The 20,853-nt window shown below is 38.1% G+C and overlaps 2 protein-coding genes across 51 annotated transcripts in view, besides 1 other annotated feature; one reads left to right on the top strand and one right to left on the bottom strand.

Annotated features, from left to right (window-relative positions):
* Positions 1–20,853, top strand: part of PACRGL (parkin coregulated like) — a 71,092-nt gene that overhangs the window by 29,312 nt on the left and 20,927 nt on the right. For 29 of the 43 annotated variants that reach the window (NR_047661.3, XM_047449617.1, XM_011513786.4 and 26 more), the window contains one exon: positions 1,692–6,964. Coding sequence is in view for 28 of the 43 variants with exons in the window: in XM_047449617.1 (XP_047305573.1) it covers positions 1,692–1,748 (57 nt within the window). In the remaining 15 variants the exon portion in view is untranslated. Of the gene's footprint in view, positions 1–1,691; positions 6,965–20,853 lie in introns of those variants that run through there. The other 14 variants (NR_133933.2, XR_007096362.1, XR_925302.3 and 11 more) reach the window with 1 other exon arrangement.
* The window catches only part of KCNIP4 (potassium voltage-gated channel interacting protein 4), a 1,220,167-nt gene continuing 1,202,326 nt past the window's right edge, over positions 3,013–20,853 (bottom strand). For 6 of the 8 annotated variants that reach the window (NM_147181.4, NM_025221.6, NM_147182.4 and 3 more), the window contains 4 exons: positions 9,035–9,142; positions 7,088–7,192; positions 6,413–6,475; positions 3,013–4,536 (listed from right to left, as the gene is read on the bottom strand). In NM_147181.4, coding sequence (NP_671710.1) covers positions 4,489–4,536; positions 6,413–6,475; positions 7,088–7,192; positions 9,035–9,142 — 324 coding nt within the window. In that variant the 3' untranslated portion in view covers positions 3,013–4,488. Of the gene's footprint in view, positions 6,476–7,087; positions 7,193–9,034; positions 9,143–20,853 lie in introns of all 8 variants that reach the window. The other 2 variants (NM_147183.3, XM_011513885.4) reach the window with 2 other exon arrangements.
* Positions 12,911–13,080: an enhancer, noted in NCBI's record as "experimental_77676 CRE fragment used in MPRA reporter constructs". NCBI's record gives its function as "activates a minimal promoter by MPRAs in K562 erythroleukemia cells, with activity observed for both the introgressed and non-introgressed 4:20740212 variant alleles {active_cell/tissue: K562}" and the evidence as "EXISTENCE:reporter gene assay evidence [ECO:0000049][PMID:34662402]".

Consider the following 20,853-nt stretch of genomic DNA (forward strand, 5'->3'; position numbering starts at 1 on the left):
ATAGAATTGCATGTGACCATCTTAACATTGTATAACTTAGTTCCATTGTAGGTACTTCTAAAGGAATTAGTTATGAGAAAATTTACCTGATCATATACAATTTTAAAATGGCAGACATAAAGCTTTAGCGAAATACCTCATTTGACCAATCTCAATGAGTTGTTTGATTGATTATATTCTTTCCATGATGGATGCCTAGAATACAGTTGACAAGAGGAAGTAAGTGTCTAAGCCTACTAGATAATGAATTTCTTTGTTGTGTTTGGGTCCTAGGCAGAGTATTAACATTCAGACACCTTGTTGAGGAGATGTGCAGAACTTTCCTCTAGCTAATCCCATGTCTCCTCTGCAGCAAGGAAATTCTTGCTTGCTCTTCTGAGAATTTAAATGCAAAATATATTTCTCCTTTCTTCTTCTGTGGAGTGGAAGTGAACAAATGCTAAATAATGATGCCACAGCTTTTCAGTGGGAAACGCTCCCTAGGTGATTTTCCATATCCTGTGGGCCGGTATGGGAAATGGGACAAGTAGAAAGGGACAGGCCAAGCATGTTAGATTTTGTGGTGGGAGTGGAGGGGGTGTGGAGGAGGAGATAGTATATGTGTAAATAAAGTTTAGAAACGGCACATTAAGATTTGGAAGGGGAACACAGAGCTGTAGTTGAGTAATCCAGGATCCCAGAAATATCAAATTCTTTTTTTACTACTCCATCTTACTAGCTTTGAATGTTGCTAATACAGAATTTTAAAAAAGATTTTGTAGCTACAAGGGCTGTTATTATTTATTTTCTTCTGACTCCTCTTGTTTCCTCCTTCTTATATCCTACATAATATTTTAATAATGATTGATGTAATTGGAATAGAAAATTTCCTATTGCAATTACATACCAAAGACTTTCTCTTGGCTTATTATTGTGCTAATTTCTGTTACTTCGTAATCCTTCATGAAACTAATGAATGTTCTTCTTTCTCTTCTAAGACCTTAAAAGCTTATATATCTCTTTCTTTCTTAAAATATTAGAAATTAAGTCTTTAAAAATGAGTGTTCTCAGTTGTGGTTTCTCATTTCTTGGGACTTGTGTATATCAATGATGGAACTATTCAACTTTTGGATACAGGAAAATATCTGTTACAGATAGTCACAGTGTTACTTTCTTAGAACTGATCTGCCTTAAATTGAAATCAGTTCATTCTTAGCCTGATTTGATTTTTTTTCTAAGTGAAATGCACATTTATTTTGGAAAAGGCACAATGCAAATCCTGATCTTTATTGATTGTGTGGGAACTTATTACATGGCAGGTACTCTGCTGAGTACTTTTTAGACATGAAACCCATTTACTCTTCCTAGTCATCAGAGGGAGATTTTGTTGTTATCTCCCTCTAAAGATCACGGAACTTAGGCACAGAAAAGTAATTAGTCCAGGTTTGACGAATAAGTGACTAGTAGATGCTGAATTCAGATACTGGTAGTCTGGCTTCTAACTACTTCTCTAGTTAGATACTTCAAAAAAAGAGAAAGAAACAGCCTATATTTTATTTAACTCAGCAAAAAGTCCTTCTTATTTCATCATTTTGTTCTTACCCCTTTTTGTTTGAGTTTTAGATACTTTCTAGGCATATTCCTGCAAATATAATACCTATTAGGGGAACTCTGCATGATACTAATGATGCTCAATTTTTTTCTGTTGACAGGGGAGCCTTAGCATCATCAAATCTAAAATTCCAACATACTGCTCCATATGCTGTTGAAGAAGGGAGCCAACAAAAATTGTTTTTTCTACCTGTTGACGTGTCAAGCACTAACTGTGGGTACTCATTTATTTTATTCTTTTGTAAATCACAGCCACCATTCATTATTTACTAGGTTAAGATGAATAGACACTGAATCAAAGTTATTCATCAACAAAAAAGAACAGTTACTAATGGAAAGTTATTAAAATAAGTTCTATAAGAGTACAATTTTGAGGTTTATTTTTTGTATTTTTATTATTTGTGCGAAGAACCATTATTGAGTTTGCAAGATAAGATGTATTTGTATTTTCTAGTGTCTTTTTATTTATAACAACACTTTTTTGGCAATCAGTTTGTAGCTGTGCCCTTATTTTTATAGATAGTTTGCCATTTCTTGGGTTTAATGTTTAACAAGGCTATAGAAGTTTAAAATAGTGGACAAATGTTTGTGAATACACTTTTAAAAAATTGTTTTAAAAGAGAAAAGCGGTCTTGCTTTGTTGCCCAGACTGGAGTGCAGTGGCATAATCATAGCTCACCGCAAGCCTCAAATTTTTGTGCTCAGATGATCCTTTTCATCTCAGCCTCCTGATTAGCTGGGACTATAGGCGTGTGCCACCATGCCCAGCTAATTTTGAAATTTGCTTGTAGAGATGGGATCTCACTCTGTTGTCCAGGCTGGTCTCAGAATTCTGGTGAGTGATCCTCCCACAGTGGACTTCCAAAGTGCTGGGATTACAGGTGTGAGCCACCATGCCTGGCCCCATGAATACACTACTAATATTATTTGTAAATATGTATTTTATAATGTACAATGCTTGGAAAATTTTCAGAGTATTCTAGTTTAAAAAATTTTTTCTAATTCTGTAAATTCTATTACAAGTATGTTGTTTATTACAACTCATTACAACTACCTAAATTTTAGGTGTTAACTGTATTTAAGTAAATGTGTTATTTTTGCATTTCATAGCCAGAAAATACTGATGTTCACTTAAAGATATTCAGCAATTAAAATGTTAAAACTTGTACATGCATTCATTGATTTTGTTGTGCTTATGTTTAGCAATTTTTAAGAAGCTTTTAAAATATAATATAGACATAGTTCAGAATTTTGATGTAATAGAAGCAATTCCCTCTGGCTACAACAGCTGCCTGCCTGCTGGCCTTGCTTTTACCTGTTTTCATTGCATTGAGCACCATCCAGAGCTATCTGCCATCTAGAAAGTACTGTAAGATTTAATTAATTACAAAATTTCTTGGAAAAGACCTGTAACATAGACAGTAGAGTTATAAACATTTTATTTTGCTTTTATTTTTTCTTTTTGAAATACAAAATGTGCACATTGAGTTTACACAAACACGTGATGGCAAATTTCAGTGTACATGTATTGTACTACTCTTAATTTCTACACTGGTGATAGCAGGGCAGCTTTCAACATCCTATCTCTACACCAGAATAGATACCTGATTTATTGTTGCAAAGACAGTTGCAAATTTCCTCCTTCTGTAGCCTCTTGGTCTTTGTGATATTTCTACAAAACAGGGACGATGTGTGTGGCTTTAGTAATGTGGCAACTTTACAGTTTTGGCTAAGATGATTAAAAATAATCTGAATTATGATGAGCTAAATCATACTGTAATCTGGATTAGTTGTTGAGCACTTATTTTCTACTAAATCTTGGTAGTAGTTGTCAATGTAATGGAACCACTGGTGCTTTCAAAGTGAATTTTGCTTGCTAATTTTGCTTGCTGTTTGTTCTTAGTAGACAGTGGGGTAGTCAAGGTTTCTTTCTTTGTCCCTGAATGGCTTGTAATATAAATAAACATGCTGTAAGGAAGTCAGGGGAAAGAGGACAGATTTGGCCTTTAATGCTGTTAGGATTACTTGTTATTAAGCATTACTATATACTGGAGGATAGATATCCTGACCCTTTGCATATGTCTGTAAACATCCTTGTTTTGTTTGATGCCTTCTTCAACTTCCACTTAATGATTGATACTAATGATTGATACAATAGAAAACAGCCTGTAAGAAAGATTGAACAAATCCAAAATTATTATATAGGCCTTGGCTGTAACATATTATGGAAAATTAAATGCTTATTAAAATAAGTTTTATTAGGCATATGCTGATATCTGATAATAAACTAATTTTTAAATGTTTAATAATTTTTAAATGTTTAAAAATGCCAGATAAAACTAATTTCTAACAGAAGGTGGGAAGGCCATAGAAACTGGAACTATGTGTTTTTTTAATTGTTGTAATCTTGTTTCCTTAAAGTATATAAATGGAATTTAAATGGAATTACAGCATTCAAACATGAAAATTAATTTAATTTCTGGAAATTAAATGCAGATGTCACTATATTAGAAAACCATTCAAAATCCTAGGACTGAATACATACAAATGAGTAGCAAAAAACACTGATATTTTAAAATCACTGATATGTGAAAGCCTCAATAATCCCATGGCTAAGGAACCAATAAAACTATATGCCAGATTCTATTACTTTTGAATATTCACAGAGTATGAAATGAGTTAGACCATCCCCTGAACTCAGTGGCATTATGAAAAGGATGCAAATTTATAACTGAAAGCTCAAATCTTTTGGGGATTGCTTTATATTAAAACAAAGCTTGTTTGCATAATATGCTTCAGTGTCAAGCTGAGCAATCTATGCTAAAAGTGGTAGCTCCAACTTTAAGGGTGGTAGAATAGTTCACATTTGTCTGTTGGATTCAGGATCTATTTGACAAGTTAAATCACATTTTCAAAGAGCTGCATGGAGCGCATTATGTTTTCATCCTGTAAGGGAGAAACACAGAGCGATTAAATTCAGCATATCTGCAAGGAAAAGTACACTATTTTGCCCCTGAGTATTGCCTCCTCCCATCAACCACCTCAACCACCTATGCCAAAAGCTCAAATATTAAGTGTTTGCAAATGTAAATGCCATTCTATTCTATCCATTTTCCACATAGATGACTATGAAGGACCCATTTTATATTTTGTGGAGTCTATTGACCAGGCATTAAACCACTTTATTTAAATCTTTACTTGGTATTAATAGAGGATATTTCTCAAATCATAATGCCAAAATGGAAACTACAGAGGTGCAGAGGTGTGTCAAAGCAAATGAGAATTTTGGCATTCTATGTAGATCACAGGCCAAATCACACAGACTTTTATACAGGTACAAGGAAAATTTGTGTGTATGAGCCAGCAGTTCATGAAGATTGGAGGCTGGCGCATAGGAGGCAGGGTGGTGGATTAAGAGGTAACATGTTTGCAGTAATCATCTCTCTTTCTGTCTGCTAGTTATGGCTAAAGCTGCATGGCCTGAAGGAGCCTTTAAAAATGAATGGTCTCTCAATTACAGAGAAAGAATTGGGGAGCAGAAACCACTGCTCAGTGGCTGTGTTCAGTTTAGCATATTCTTTAGAAATGAGTTAGGGGACAGACTTTGGGCATTATTGGAGCACTTGTCAGTTGCATGTGAATAGCACTTACTGAGCTGTTTATGGTAGTGGTAAATGGTGGCTGAACCAATAATGGCTTCCACTGCTAGAAACCAAGTAACATCACCGTCAAGCAGCTTAATGTCACCAAATTAATTCTCTCAAAGACCACTGCATGGAAATCCAAGTTGAGAGACAAGCAGACATCCAGAAAAGTAAGAACAACAATTTAAAAATAAAGAGAAAAACTAAAGAAACAACGGATTTCTTTGTTTTCAGGATTATTTGAAAAATTCTTTTTTTCTTTTTTTAGTTTTGAGGCAGAGTCTATTTCTGTTGCCCATCATTCTGGAGTGCAGTGGCACAATCATGGCTCAACAGGGATCAAGTGATCTTCCTGCCTCAGCCTCCCAAGTAGCTGAGACTTCAGCCACGTGCCACCGTGCCCAGCTAACTTAATTTTTTTTTGTAGAGATAGATAGGGTCTTGCTATGTTGCCCACATTGGACTCAAAATCCTGGCCTTAAGTTATCTTCCCGCCTCAGCCTCCCATAGTGCTGGGATTACAGTTGTGAGCTACTGTACCAGGCCTTAACAATTTTTAACTGTGGTTCTGCCCACACATCAAGTCAAATAATTCTAAGTAAGCTAACACTGGTTTCTTTGATAACAGGCTACTACCTGGAGTTCTCTTCAGAGAAAATTTTCCACTGTTTATTTTTTGTGACTGAAGACCATTAGTGAGTTCAGTCAAAGAGCCATTTCTTGTCCACATACACTAAAACAATGACTTTTCTCTTAGAAATCAGATAGAAGCTTGGCCTGTTGTGATGCCATACTTGGCTATCTAGGAATTCTAATGCTGTGGAGATATGATAGATAATATATGAGTGATGCTAAGTTTTGGCAAAGAGCAATTCAAATCTCATGTATGTTTTATCCTCCATGAATACTCTCTAAGGAATTTGGGAATCAACACAGTACATGTACAACTTTTGTATCCCCAGGGTTTCCTCCATAGCCTGACTCAGTGGGCACTCTAAATGTTGATTATGTAATTGGTGCTTGTTTTCAGAGTGGTAGGCTTATGCTGCATGTTGTAGAAGTGGTAAACTTAGGCATATGATCTCTATATTTCGCCCAGTTCATGGTAGCTAGCTGCTAATACTCAGTTTAGCTGTTATGATAGCTGAATTGATAGTTATTACACTTTCATTACTTACTTTTTGGCAGCTTTCAATGAACTCATCTATGGTAACAACCCCATCTTTATTTTTGTCCATTTTCTGTTCAGGAAGAAAACAAAAATTGTATTTAGACTTATCCCTTAATACCCTCACACCTGGACCAAATGAGCTGAAGCTGATAAAAAGAAAACCTAGCTGCTTATTTATTTCACGTGGAGGAACTGTTTCAGAGCAGGAACCAGCAGTTTTTTAGAGATAAAAATGATAGGGCCAAATGCTTCTGGCTTTTCCCTTTTCAATATAATGTGGTGAAGATGTAGAGTCACTCTGTCCTAGGTAAAATCCCACCTTCTAGATGTGACAGAGCTTGCGCAATTTGCTGAAACTTTCAGAGCTTGCTTTTTGTCTCATCTGTAAAATGAGATTAATGAGGATTTATAGGATTCTTGTAAAAACTGAATGAAAACAAAACTTGTGAAACATGAGAACTGTTTAGTGTTGTATCTTGGATTTAGTGAATGTTCAATAAATGCAGTTATCAGCATTGTAAATTCAAAACCAAAGCTATTAAATTAATAGGATGCTAAATACTGTTTTGTTTCAGTAAAAATTATTTTCCTTTGCTCTCTTTTGAATCATCGTGGTGCATGGCAAACATCAGGAAATTTTCTCCTAACTTCATGCCCTCTTGACTTCTGTTTTAATTCCTACCTGAAAAAATGTTTCAACGTGTTGTCTGGGAGCATCTTCTTTGAGGACAGGATATGTACATTTACCCATCATATCGTATATTGCTTTCATTATATCAAGCATTTCCTGAAAAATAAAAGGCACTCACGTGAGGCTGCACACATGTATGAAGAAACCAGTCTAAGAAGCTCTGACAGATTTTTCCTACTCAATTTTAAATTTTTGACTTTTTGTTTGTTGGATTCTTTGTTAGACGACTGTTGGTTGTCCCAAAGGAAAAGGCAACAAACAGCTTTCTGCCTTAAGAGCAGAAGAATCAGAATTTAAGAATGAATTCTGATCTCTTGGTTTCAAAAGGAAGCAAATTTCCATGTATCTACCATAGTCAGGAAAAGAATATGCTGGCTTAATGTTTGGATTTCTATAGACTTTAAGTAGACTATGTTTATTTAATTGCATTATATATCTTATGTGTTGATCATCAGTTTCCATCTATTGAGAATCAAATATACGGCACATCGTATATTGAGAAAAAACACCATTTAGAATTAGTGAAATTAATTGGTAAGTCTTAAGGTTCATTAGGGTTTTTGTTGTATTTTTCCTACTGTGGCTTTAACTTAAGTCACATGTGAAGACTAGTCAAAAAATTTTGACCCTGGGAAACACCTTTAAATTTTGTTATTAACTTTTTCTCTAAAACAGTCTAATTTTTGCCTTACCACTTTCATTCTTATGAGAGTAAAAATAATCTCTAATAACTTAAACATTTAGATTTATTGTTGCACATTTGTTTCACGTGAAAGATCTCTCAATTAGGTTAATACAGAGCGAATATATATTTACTTTTAAGAGTATTCAATTATAAATGATAGAGTAATTTGTAAACAGGTGAAACCTTTTAAGATGTTTTAAGCATAGATAAGTAGCAAGTAGTTTGTTAGACACAGGCAGAATTCTTGAGATGTGTTAAACACAGAGGTAAGAATTGAAGAACAAGAGATATTTAAGGTATCCTAAGTATCTGGGTAATAAATATTCATGATATAAAAATATACAAGAAGCACTATTTAGGATATGCTCCATATACATGAACACAATAGCCATAAGGTCTTAATTTGGCACCCACTAGTGATACCTATTCTGGCCCCAGGTGTCCTCTGTGCAAGAAACACAAATGAAACCCATTACTACTTATCAGGCTATACTCGTGACCTGGCACACTTGCACCTGTGTCTCTCCAGTAGCGCAAGTTCATGTCATTTGCTGTTGGCCCTGGGCACCTTTTGTCTGTGGGGCCTCTTGCTCAAAACTCAATTCTGGGGAAGTCTCGTGAGGCAAAGAGAGACAGGACATAGGCACACTGAGAATGCCCAGGATTTAGGGAGTGGTCTTTCAACCCCATTTGCAGCCTGTCCTGCGTGGTTAACTTACTCCATCCCTTTCTTTACTTCTCGCTGTGTTTTAAATTGGTTTAATAAACTGTGTAATACGAGTATCTTAATTTGGTCTGTGAACCTTGTTTCCTGGATAGTCTGCCTCAACGTGCATTTGGAGACCCCACCATTGCGTCAGGTCATTCCACAATCCCCATGATTGTAAAATTTCATTTCCTTATGGATCACATGCTGTGGGGAAAAGAAAGGCTTCAGGCTAAATGTTGAAACATGGGTTGGATACATTTTCTTTCTATCTGATTCCAACCATGATCTTTATTCCATTCACAGTATTTATTAAGATGCCAGCAGGAAACAAGGGTGTAATCTTTATGTGTTATATATTTACTTTGGAGCTTCACCATAAACTACTTCTATCCCAAGTTTTTAATTGTACATCTTTCTTCCACTACATAAAATATTTTGGAATTTCCTCAAAAAAACTTTTCAAATTAATAATTGCAATTAATATTTTAAAGTTAAGAAATGAAAATGGTCCAAATTACTGTGATGTTGGTGAGGCATCCCTTACCTCTTTAGTGATGTAGCCATCTTTATTTATGTCATACAGATTAAATGCCCAATTGAGTTTTTCTTGTACTGTCCCCCGGAGCAAAATGGAAAGACCTTTGATGAAATCCTGAAAAGAAATAAAAATTCAATTTTATATGACATTTTTAAAAAAACAAAAACAAAAAAAACAAATGATGTAAGTAAGGGCTACAACCCTCTGGATCTTGAACATTTAGCAAAATGATTGATGTGTTATTGGTTGTCTAGTTTTCAGACTTCTCTGTGGGCATAAATCACTCCTTAGTCTTAACATTTTCATATTCTAATTGGAAACTGAGTTAAATCAATGGTCATACTGGAAATTGTACCAGTGCGTACCCACACAGCTAGAGGCTTGAGTATAAGTGGTATTGGCTTTCCACTGCAAGTGCACATGATTTACTAAAAGAATCTAATAATAGTTTTTTCAAAAAAATACAAGTGCACACATAACACACTTCAATGAAAAACCGTTTGCTAATAAGAAATGTGGCTGTCCATAAAAGATAAACCAATTGTGGTCTTTAATTAGAAATCCAGTTATAATTTACATGTGGACAGTGGGTAAGAGCATGGAACTGGAAAGGACAGACTGCCTGGATTCACCCTCCAGCTATATTACTGGATGGCTTTGTGTCTTCAGGCAACTTAACATCCCTTTGCCTCAATTTTCGTATCTGTAAAATGGAGCTAATAATAGTATCTACCTCTTCACAATTTTATGAGGATTAAAAAAGAGGCTGCTTATAACAGTCCTTGGCAATGACATTGGCTATGTAAGTTTTTGTTAAGTAAATGGAGCCCTCAGTTTGTATCCTGGTTAGATTGCATTGCAGACTGGCCAGATTAACTTGATTAAATTCATTTAGTGTTTTTTTTTTTGTTTTTTTTTTTTTTTTTGAGATGGAATCTCGCACTGTTGCCCAGGCTGGAGTGCAGTGGCACAATCTTGGCTCACTGCAACTTCCACCTCCCACCTCCCAGGTTCAAGCCATTCTTCTGCCTCAGCCTCCCGAGTAGCTGGGACTACAGGCACCCGCCACCATGCCTGACTAATTTTTGTATTTTTGGTAGAGATGGGGTTTCACCATGTTGGCCAGGTTGGTGTCGAACTCCTGACCTTGTGATCTGCCCACCGCCGCCTCTCAAAGTGCTGGGATTACAGGCGTGAGCCACCACGCCTGGCCAGATTTCTTGTTGTTATGTACAGCAGGGTTAACGTTACAATGTGCTGTATTCAGTTTATAATCCACTTTTAGGTAGGAATGAAAGCAGAGGGGAAATCCAAAAGTCTTCTGGGTGAATTTGCATTATATCTCCCTTTCTCACATTCCTTCCTTTTATAGCTGTATTTCTATCTGAATTTCTCAAAATGTTTTTTCTTTTTTAAATAAGTAACATCCATATAGTTCAACATTTAAAAATTGTGTAAGCTGCCTGGTGAAAAATCTTTCTTCCCTTCCTGGACCCAGCCACCTGTTCCTTTCACTCATAGACTACTGGCATAAATAGTTTGTATTTACTTCCAAGGAATTTTTGTGCATACACAAGTATAAGATATATTTGTTTTACTAGCTAACAGACTTCTATACTTTTTTTTCCACTTAAGCATAAATCAGGGAAACAATTTGAGTTTCCATTGTATATGTAAATACATCGTAGTTTATTTAACCAAATTGTTCTTTTACATTTTTTCTCATCATTATTTCTAGGTATTTTAATATTTCTGTTGCTGTTGTAAATGAGATATTTTTTTCTATCATATATTCTAAACTAGTTGTTTGTATGTATGAAAGCCATTGATTTCTGTATGATAATTTTATACCCTGTCAATTTGCTGACATACGTTGGTTTTCTTCTGGGTTTTCATGTGTGCAATATTAGCTGCAAATGGAATTAATTTTACCTTTTTTTCTAATTTTTATATGTTTACTTTTTTCTAATTATATGGCCTAATATATATAGAACAGTGTTACATAATGAAAATGATAATAGATATTCTTAGTTTTTTCTTGAACTTGAGAATATTTCAATTCGCTTTTAAGCATGATACTTACTTTTATCATGGTAAAGAATTATACAACCCTTCCACTTAAGCAAATTTATCAAGAATGGCCACAGACCTTTTTTAGCAAAAATGAAAAAGACAAAAACAGAAATAATTGTCAAATTCATATTGCAAGGGACCCTGAATAGCCCAGTCAATTTTAAGAAAGAAAAACAAACTTGGAGGACTCACACTGCCCAATATCAAAACTTAGTACAAAGTTACATTAATCAAAACAGTGTGGTACTGGCATAAAGACAGATATATAGAACAGTAGAATAGAATTGAGTCTAGATATAAACCAGCTGTCTGTGGCCAATTGATTTTCGATAATGGTGCCAAGACCATTCAATAGCTATGGAAAGAATAATCTCAATATATGGTGCTGTGGCAACTGGATCACCATACTTAGTTTGCTTCCCATTGGCATGAAGGGTAGAATGTCAAGTGAGAGAAAAACAAGATTCCAGAGAAAGCCACAAGGAATTCCAATATTTGGCAGGTACAGAGAGGAGAAGCTGGCAAAGCATCTTGAAAAGAAGTTGCTAAAGAAGTGAGTCAGGAGAACAGAGCATTTCCCTAGGAAAGGATTGTTCATTTTGCTCCAAGGTTGGAAAAATGTTCACTGGACCAGCAACATGGAGGTCACCAGCAAGTGATAGGGAACGGTCCAGTGGAGTAGGAGTGAAGAGTAATTTTTAATGAGGAGCACTTTGAATACTGAAGAGAAGAATCTAAAAAGAGTAAGAGTCAGAAATGGGCTGTGCTCTTGAGAAGGTGGGGAGGATCCAGAACATGGGTAGATGGGCCGATCTGAGAAGGGAGTTGATACATGAGACAGAAGAACATGGTGTGGATGCCAGCAGCTGCTTTGCAGGTGGGAAGATGACTGTGTTTCTGTCCGATAGCTTTAGTGAGTGTGAGCTGTTTGAGAGTGAGGAGCCTGGTAGAAGAGGTAAGAATCTGAGGTTTGAGGAGAGAGGCAGAAGCTCTGATACTAAGCAGTAAGATGACATGCAAATTAGAGAAAGGGAGACCTCCCTCAAATTATTTCCCTGCCATATTTTAGAAAATTATTTATGACATAGAATGTAGTTTAGTTAAAAGGTAATGACAGCCCTTGGAGGTATGAGTGTACATCTTGCACAACCAGCAGGCTGGGGATCATGGCTCATGCCTGTAATCCCAGCACTTTGGGTGGTGGAGGTGGGAAGGTTGTTTGAGTCCAAGAGTTTGCAAGCAGCCTGAGCAACGCAGCCAGATCCAAATTAACAGCAAGAAAAACAAATTAACTGGGTATGGTGGTGCACACCTGTTGTCCCAGCTACCTGGGAGGCTGAGATGGGAATCACTTGAGCCCAGAAGGTCGAGGCTACAGTGAACTATGATTGCACCACTGTGCTTCAGCCTGGATGACAGACCAAGACTCTGTCTCAAAAAAAAAAAAAAAATCCTTAGCTTTTTCAGAAGGCATAAAATATACATTGCAGAACATAGAGCCTTATTCAAGGAAGATTGCTGAGCAGTTTTGAAAGGCTAGATGAGATTGATTGTTATCAATGTAAACGATATTTTTAAAAATTCACAGCGTAGTAATAATATGTCATTAATTGTAAGGGGAGCTGGCCACAGGGTCTTTGAAAACATGCTTAGAGTATTGGTTCTCAAAATATAATGTGCAACACAGTCACCTGGGGAGTGTGCCAAAAGATTTATGGGACCTACTCCAAGAATTATGATTCATTAGGTTGAAGTGGGACCCCAAAATTTACATGTCTGACACATTCCAAGGGGAAGCCTGTACTGCTTCCAGGGATCACACTTTGAGAATCACTGGCCTACAGCACTCATCACTGGCATTGACCTCACCACCACACAAAACAGCAGAGAAACAATGAAAGATTTAAAGATAGCACTTTTGGGGAATCCCCCCAAGATGGCTACATAGGAACAGCTCCAGTCTACAGCTCCCAGCATGAGCAACGCAGAAGATGGGTGATTTCTGCATTTCCAACTGAGGTACCAGGTTCATCTAAACTGGGACTTGTTGGACAGTGGATGCAGCCCACAGAGTGTGAGCCGAAGCAGGGTGGGGCATCGCCTCACCCAGGAAGCGCAAGGGGTTGGGGAATTCCCTTTCCTAGCCAAGGGAAGCTGTGACAGATGGTACCTGGAGAATCAGGACACTTCCTGCCAATATTGTGCTTTTCCAACAGTCTTAGCAAACGGCACACCAGGAGATTATATACTGCACCTGGCTCAGAGTGGCCCACACCCACAGAGCCTTGCTCACTGCTATCACAGAAGTCCGAGATCGAACTGCAAGGCAACAGTGAGGCTGAGGGAGGGGCGTCCACCATTGCTGAGACTTGACTAGGTAAAGCAGCCAGGAAGCTCAAACTAGGTGGAGCCCACTGCAGCTCAAGGAGGCCTGCCTGCCTCTGTAGATGCCACCTCTGGGGGCAGGTCATAGCTGAACAAAAGGCAGCAGAAACTTCTGCAGACTTAAACATCCCTGTCTGACAGCTTTGAAGAGAGTAGTTCTCCCAGCATGGAGTTTGAGATCTGAGAACAGACAGACTGCCTCCTCAAGTGGGTCCCTGACCCCCGAGTAGCATAACTGGGAAACACCTCCTAGTAGGGGCAGACTGACACCTCATACAGCCAGGTGCCCCTCTAAGACAAAGCTTCCAGAGGAAGGATCAGGCAGCAACATGTGCTGTTCTGTAGCCTCTGCTGGTGATAACCAGGCAAACAGGGTCTGGAGTGGACCTCCAGCAAACTCCAACAGACCTGCAGCTGAGGGTCCTGACTGTTAGAAGGAAAACTGACAAACAGAAGGGAATAGCATCAACATCAACAAAAAGGACATCCACACCAAAACCCCATCTTTAGGTCACCATCATCAAAGACCAAAGGTAGATAAAACCAGAAAGATGGAGAGAAACCAGAGCAGAAAAGCTGAAAAGTGTAAAAATCAGAGAACCTCTTCTCCAAAGGAACGCACCTCCTCGCCAGCAATGGAACAAAGCTGGATGGAGAATGACTTTGATGAGCTGACAGAAGTAGGCTTCAAAAGATCAGTAATAACAAACTTCTCCGAACTAAAGGAAGATGTTCGAACCCATCACAAAGAAGCTAAAAACCTTGAGAAAAGATTAGACGAATGGCTGACTAGAATAAACAGCGTAGAGAAGACCTTAAATGACCTGACGGAGCTGAAAACCATGGCACAAGAACTATCTGATGCATTCACAAGCTTCAGTAGCCATTTTGATCAAGTGGAAGAAAGGGTATCAGTGATTGAAGATCAAGTGAATGAAATGAAGCGAGAAGAGAAGTATAGAGAAAAATGAGTTAAACAAAGCCTCCAGGAAATATGGGACTATGTGAAAAGGCCAAATCTACGTCTGATTGGTGTACCTGAAAGTGACGGGGAGAATTGAACCAAGTTGGAAAACACCCTTCAGGATATTATCCAGGAGAACTTGCGCAACCTAGCAAGTCAGGCCAACATTCAAATTCAGGAAATACAGAGAATGCCACCAAGATACTCCTTAAGAGCAATTCCAAGACACATAAATTGTCAGATTCACCAAAGTTGAAATGAAGGAAAGAAAGTTAAGGGCAGCCAGGGAGGTCGGGTTACCCACAAAGGGAAGCCCATCAGACTAACAGCGGAACTCTCGGCAGAAACTTTACAAGCCAGAAGAGAGTGGGGGCCAATATTCAACACTCTTACAGAATTTTCAACCCAGAATTTCATAACCAGCCAAACTAAGCTTCATAAGTGAAGGAGAAATAAAATCCTTTACAGACAAGCAAATGCTGAGAGATTTTGTCACCGCCAGGCCTGCCTTACAAGAGCTTCTGAAGGAAGCACTAAACATAGAAAGGAACAACTGATACCAGCCACTGCAAAAACATGCCAAATTGTAAAGACCATCAAGGCTAGGAAGAAACTGCATCAACTAATGAGCAAAATAACCAGCTAACATCATAATGACAGGATCAAATTCACACATAACAATATTAACCTTAAATGTAAATGGGCTAAACGCACCAATTAAAAGACACAAACTGGCAAATAGGATTGTCAAGATCCATCAGTGTGCTGTATTCAGGAGACCCATCTCGCCTGCAGAGACAAACATAGGCTCAAAATAAAGGGATGGAGGAAGATCTACCAAGCAAATGGAAAACAAAAAAAAAGCAGGGGTTGCAATCCTAGTCTCTGATAAAACAGACATTAAACCAACAAAGATCAAAACAGACAAAGAAGGCTATTACATAATGGTAAAGGGATCAATTCAACAAGAAGAGCTAACTATCCTAAATATATATGCACCAATACAGGAGCACCCAGATTCATAAAACAAGTCCTTAGAGATCTACAAAGAGACTTAGACTCCCACACAATAATAATGGGAGGCTTTAACACCCCACTGTCAGCATTACACAGATCAATGAGACAGAAAGTTAACAAGGATATCCAGGACTTGAACTCAGCTCTGCAGCAAGCGGACCTAATAGACATCTACAGAACTCTCCACCCCAAATCAACAGAATATAGATTCTTCTCAGCACTACGTCACACTTATTCCAAAATTGACCACATAGTTGGAAGTAAAGCACTCCTCAGCAAATGTAAAAGAACAGAAATTATAACAAACTGTCTCTCAGACTACAATGCAATCAAATTAAAACTCAAGATTGAAACTCACTCAAAACTGCACAACTACTTGGAAACTGAACAACCTGCTCCTGAATGACCACTGGGTAGATAATGAAATGAAGGCAGAAATAAAGATGTTCTTTGAAACCAATGAGAACAAAGACACAACGTACCAGAATCTCTGGGACACATTTAAAGCAGTGTGTAGAGGGAAATTTATAGCACTCAAAGCCCACAAGAGAAAGCAGGAAAGATCTAAAATCAACACCCTAACATCACAATTAAAAGAAGTAGAGAAGCAAGAGCAAACACATTCAAAAGCTAGCAGAAGGCAAGAAATAACTAAGAGCAGAGCAGAACTGAAGGAGACAGAGACACAAAAAACCCTTCAAAAAATCAATGAATCCAGGAGCTGGTGTTTTGAAAAGATCAACAAAATTGATAGACTGCTAGCAAGGCTAATAAAGAAGAAAAGAGAGAAGAATCAAATAGATGCAATAAAAAATGATAAAGGGGATATCACCACTGATCCCACAGAAATACAAACTACCATCAGAGAATACGATGAACACCTCTATGCGAATAAACTAGAAAATCTAGAAGAATGGATAAATTCCTGGACACATACACCCTCCCAAGACTAAACCAGGAAGAAGTTGAATCCCTGAATAGACCAATAACAGGCTCTGAAATTGAGGCAATAATTAATAGCCTGCCAACCAAAAAAAAGTCCAGGACCAGATGGATTCACAGCTGAATTCTACCAGAGGTACAAAGAGGAGCTGGTACCATTTCTTCTGAAAATATTCCAATCAACAGAAAAAGAGGGAATCCTCCCTAACTCATTTTATGAGGCCAGCATCATCCTGATACCAAAGCCTAGCAGAGATACAACAAAAAAGAATTTTAGACCAATATCCCTGCTGAACATCGATGCAAAAATCCTCAATAAAATATTAGCAAACCGAATCCAGCAGCACATCAAAAAGCTTATCCACCACTATCATTTTGGCTTCATCCCTGGGATGCAAGGCTGGTTCAACATACACAAATCAATAAATGTAATCCATCATATAAACAAAACCAAAGACAAAAACCACATGATTATCTCAACAGACACAGAAGAGGCCTTTGACAATATTCAGCAGCCCTTCATGCTAAAAACTCTCAATAAACTAGGTATTAATGGGACGTATCTCAAAATAAGAGCTATTTATGGCAAACCCACAGCCAATATCATACTGAATGGGCAAAAACTGGACTCATTCCCTTTGAAAACTGGCACAAGACAGGGATGCCCTCTCTCACCACTCCTATTCAACATAGTGTTGGAAGTTCTGGCCAGGGCAATCAGGCAGGAGAAGGAAATAAAGGGTATTCAATTAGGGAAAGAAGAAGTCAAATTTTCCCTGTTTGCGGATGACATGATTGTATATTTAGAAAACCCTGTCGTCTCAGCCCAAAATCTCCTTAAACTGATAAGCAACTTAAGCGAAGTCTCAGGGTACAAAAATCAATGTGCAAAAATCACAGGCATTCCTATACACCAATAATAGACAAACAGAGCCAAATCATGAGTGAACTCCCATTCACAATTGCTTCAAAGATAATAAAATACCTAGGAATCCAACTTATATGGGATGTGAAGGACCCTTATAAGGGTGTGAAGGACCCTTATAAGGGTGTGAAGGACCCTTATAAGTTCACCCTTATGTGAACTACGAACCACTGCTCAATGAAATAAAAGAGGACACAAACAAATGGAAGAACATTCCATGTTCATGGATAGGAAGAATCCATATCGTGAACATGGCCATACTGCCCAAGGTGTAATTTATAGATTCAGTGCCATCCCCATCAAGCTACCAATGACTTTCTTCACAAAATTGGAAAAAACTACTTTAAAGTTCATATGGAACCAAAACAGAGCCCACATTGCCAAGTCAATCCTAAGCCAAAAGAACAAAGCTGGAGACATCATGCTGCCTGACTTCAAACTATACTACAAGGCTACAGTAACCAAAACAGCATGGTACTGGTACCAAAACAGAGATATAGACCAATGGAACAGAACAGAGCCCTCGGAAATAATACCACACATCTACAACCATCTGATCTTTGACAAACCTGACAGAAACAAGCAATGGGGAAAGGATTCCCTATTTAATAAATGGTGCTGGGAAAACTGGCTAGCCATATGTAGAAAGCTGAAACTGGATCCCTTCCTTACACTTTATACAAAAATTAATTCAAGATGGATTAAAGACTTAAACATTAGACCTAAAACCATAAAAACCCTAGAAGAAAACCTAGGCAATACCATTCAGGACATAGGCATGGGCAAGGACTTCATGTCTAAAACACCAAAAGCAATGGCAACAAAAGCCAAAATTGACAAATGGGATCTAATTAAACTAAGGAACTTCTGCACAGCAAAAGAAACTACCATCAGAGTGAACAGGCAACCTACAAAATGGGAGAAAATTTTCGCAACCTACTCATCTGACAAAGGGCTAATATCCAGAATCTACAAAGAAATTAAATTTACAAGAAAAAAAAAAACCCTTCAAAAAGTGGGCAAAGGATATGAACAGACTCTTCTCAAAAGAAGACATTTATGCAGCCACCAGACACATGAAAAAATGCTCATCATCACTGGCCATCAGAGAAATGCAAATCAAAACCACAATGAGATACCATCTCACACCAGTTAGAATGACAATCATTAAGAAGTCAGGAAACAACAGATGCTGGAGAGGATGTGGAGAAATAGGAACACTTTTGCACTGTTGGTGGGACTGTAAACTAGTTCAACCATTGTGGAAGACTGGTGACTCCTCAAGGAGCTAGAACTAGAAATACCATTTGACCCAGCAATCCCATTACTGGGTATACACCCAAAGGATTATAAATCATGCTGCTTTAAAGACACATGCACATGTATGTTTATTGCGGCACTATTCACAGTAGCAAAGACTTGGTACCAACCCAAATGTCCATCAATGATAGACTGGATTAAGAAAATGTGGCACATATACTGGATTAAGAAAATATGGCACTATACAGCCATAAAAAGGATGAGTTCATGTCCTTTGTAGGGACATGGATGAAGCTGGAAACCATCACTCTCAGCAAACTATCGCAAGGACAGAAAACCAAACACCGCATGTTCTCACTCATAGGTGGGAATTGAAAAATGAGAACACTTGGACATAGGATGGAGAACATCACACACGGGGGCCTGATGAGGGGTCAGGGGGATGGGGGAGGGATAGCATTAGGAGAAATAAATAATGTAAATGACGTGTTAATGGGTGCAGCACACCAACATGGCACATGTATACATATGTAACAAACCTGCACATTTTGCACATGTACCCTAGAACTTAAAGAATAATAATAATAAAAATATAAAATAAAAATAAAGATAGCACGTTTAAGTCAAGTGTGGACTTGTGTTGTTTGCCTCCCTAGCCCTAGTAGGTCCCAAATTTCCATTTGGTGCTCCATGATGTTCTGTGGAAGTTCACTTCATCTCTGAGTCTAGTGATAGAGCCATGACCTGGGCGAAGTCAGGAAGCACATTTTATCCCTTTGGCCGGACAACTGGATTTGTGGTTGCCATTTGACTAAACCTAGTCCAGGTCTAAGAATGACTCCCCAGACTCAGACTCTTGCTAGGAATGGTAGGACAGAGATGTGCTTCTTTCCTTGCTCAACAGGAGCAATGAATCATGGAGCCAAGGAGCTTTGGCCTCTTCTTGCAGCCCTACAGGGTCCCACCCTTAGGTTGTAGCCAGCCCCATCTCTGGCCTTTTTGTTGCTGTGAACCAATGAAATTACCATTTTTTTTTGTCACTTGGTGTATCCTTTTCTAGTATTTGTGAACAAAAGTATCCTGATTCACATGGTGACATCTAATTCACATCTTCTTGAATACTGTATATCCTGAAACAATTTACATTAAAAGATAGCTATGGTCTTAGAGCACCTCTCTCTTTTTATCCTGTGGGATGATATCAGTAAAGAGTTACTCAAAACAGGAATGATATCTTTTCGTGCAAAAGAAAAATGAGAAACTTAATGTGGCTTATAAGACTTTTGCTCCGTGCTTTTCTGAGTTGTAATTGAAGTCTCAAGTAGGAAGTGACAAACTTAACAACAACTCTCAATGAGTACTTTGCACAATTACTTTACTTGTAAATGTGAAAGGAGGTTATATCTGTTCCCTAAAGTACAAAAAATGATAAAGGGGTGGAGAGGTCTGTACCGAATTCTGGTTTCCATTCTCTTATTATCAAGGCAAAAGGAGAAAGACATAGAGATTTGACTTTATAATAGCCTAGACTTGTTCAGTTGTGGATTCTGTTCATCTGCCAAACCTTTAATGAGTGCCTCAGTGCTGGCCACTATGCTGGGGACAATCCTCCTGACTCCCCTGACTCCCTGCCAATCAAAGACTGCTATGGCTTAGAATGATGCATTTGCATGTAGTTGCCTTACTGGGTAATGAGATGACCAATGTCATTATTAACTGGCTTTGTTAGAAAAATTCCCCCAACTAGTGTAAATTAGTTCAACCATTGTGGAAGACTGTGGCGATTCCTCAAGGATCTAGAACTAGAAATACCATTTGACACAGCCATCCCATTACTGGGTATATACCTAAAGGATTATAAATCATTCTACTATAAAGACACATACACATGTATATGTATTGCAGCACTATTCACAATAGCAAAGACTTGGAACCAACCCAAATGTCCATCAATAATACACTGGATAAAGAAAACGTGGCACATATACACCATGGAATACTATGCAGCCATAAAAAAGGATGAGTTCATGTCCTTTGTGGGGAATGAAGCTGGAAACCGTCATTCTCAGCAAACTATCATGAGAACAGTAAACCAAACATTGCATGTTCTCACTCATAGCTGGGAATTGAACAATGAGAACACACGGACATAGGAAGGGGAACATCACACACCAGGGCATGTCGGAGGGTGGGGGGCTAGGGGAGGGATAATATTAGCAGAAATACCTAATGTAGGTGATGAGTTGATGGGTGCAGCAA

This window comes from Homo sapiens, chromosome 4 (assembly GCF_000001405.40).
Source record: "Homo sapiens chromosome 4, GRCh38.p14 Primary Assembly".
NCBI classification, from domain to species: Eukaryota; Metazoa; Chordata; class Mammalia; order Primates; family Hominidae; genus Homo; species Homo sapiens.